At 39.2% G+C, this 1,525-nt stretch overlaps 1 annotated feature.

The window, feature by feature from the left end:
• Positions 527–696: an enhancer, noted in NCBI's record as "experimental_70913 CRE fragment used in MPRA reporter constructs". NCBI's record gives its function as "activates a minimal promoter by MPRAs in K562 erythroleukemia cells, with activity observed for the non-introgressed 3:65108009 variant allele {active_cell/tissue: K562}" and the evidence as "EXISTENCE:reporter gene assay evidence [ECO:0000049][PMID:34662402]".

The raw sequence follows: 1,525 nt of genomic DNA, 5'->3' as shown, positions 1-1,525 counted from the left end.
TGATGTTGGGGTGTCAATTTTAGATCTTTCCTGCTTTCTCTCATGGGCATTTAGTGCTATAAATTTCCCTCTACACACTGCTTTAAATGTGTCCCAGCGATTCTGGTTTGTTGTGTCTTTGTTCTAATTGCTTTCAAAGAACATCTGTATTTCTGCCTTCATTTCATTATGTACCCAGTAGTCATTCAGAAGCAGGTTGTTCAGTTTCCATGTAGTTGAGTGGTTTTGAGTGAGTTTCTTAATCCTGAGTTCTAGTTTGATTGCACTGTGATCTGAGAGACAGTTTGTTATAATTTCTGTTCTTTTACATTTGCTGAGGAGTGCTTTACTTCCAACTATGTGGTCAGTTTTGCAATAAGTGTGGTGTGGTTCTGAAAAGAATGTATATTCTGTTGATTTGGGGTAGAGAGTTCTGTAGATGTCTATTAGGTCCACTTGGTGCAGAGCTGAGTTCAATTCCTGGATATCCTTGTTAACTTTCTGTCTCCTTGATCTGTCTAATGTTGACAGTGGGGTATTAAAGTCTCCCATTATTATTGTGTGGGAGTCTAAGTCTCTTTGTAGGTCTCTAAGGACTTGCTTTATGAATCTGGGTGCTCCTGTATTGGGTGCATATGTATTTAGAATAGCTCTTCTTGTTGAATTGTTCCCTTTACCATTATGTAATGGCCTTCTTTGTCCTTTTGATCTTTGTTAGTTTAAAGTCTGTTTTATCAGAGACTAGGATTACAACCCCTGCCTTTTTTTATTTTCCATTTGCTTGGTAGATTTTCCTCCAACCCTTTATTTTGAGCCTATGCATGTCTCTGCATGTGAGATGGGTTTCCTGAATACAGCACACTGATGGGTTTTGAGTCTTTATCCAATTTGCCAGTCTGTGTCTTTTAATTGGAGCATTTAGCCCATTTACATTTAAGGTTAATATTGTTATGTGTGAATTTGATCCTGTCATTATGATGTTAGCTAGTTATTTTGCTCATTAGTTGATGCAGTCGCTTCCTAGCCCCATTGGTCTTTACAATTTGGCATGTTTTTGCAGTGGCTGGTACTGGTTGTTCCTTTCCATGTTTAGTGCTTCCTTCAGGAGCTCTTTTAGGGCAGGCCTGGTGGTGACAGAATCTATTAGCATTTGCTTGTCTATAAAGGATCTTATTTCTCCTTCACTTATGAAGCTTAGATTGGCTGGATATGAAATTCTGGGTTGAAAATTCTTTTCTTTAAGAATGTTGAATATTGGCCCCCACTCTCTTCTGGCTTGTAGAGTTTCTGCCGAGAGATCAGCTGTTAGTCTGATGGGCTTCCCTTTGTGGGTAACGCGGCCTTTCTCTTTGGCTGCCCTTAACATTTTTTCCTTCATTTCAACTTTCGTGAATCTGACAATTATGTGTTTTGGAGTTGTTCTTCTTGAGGAGTATCTTTGTGGCATTGTCTGTATTTCCTGAATTTGAAAGTTGGCCTGCCTTGCTAGTTTGGGGAAGTTCTCCTGGATAATATCCTGCAGAGTGTTTTCCAACTTGGTTCCATT

This window comes from Homo sapiens, chromosome 3 (assembly GCF_000001405.40).
Source record: "Homo sapiens chromosome 3, GRCh38.p14 Primary Assembly".
Taxonomy (NCBI): domain Eukaryota; kingdom Metazoa; phylum Chordata; class Mammalia; order Primates; family Hominidae; genus Homo; species Homo sapiens.
This window is presented reverse-complemented; position numbering and strand designations above follow the sequence as displayed.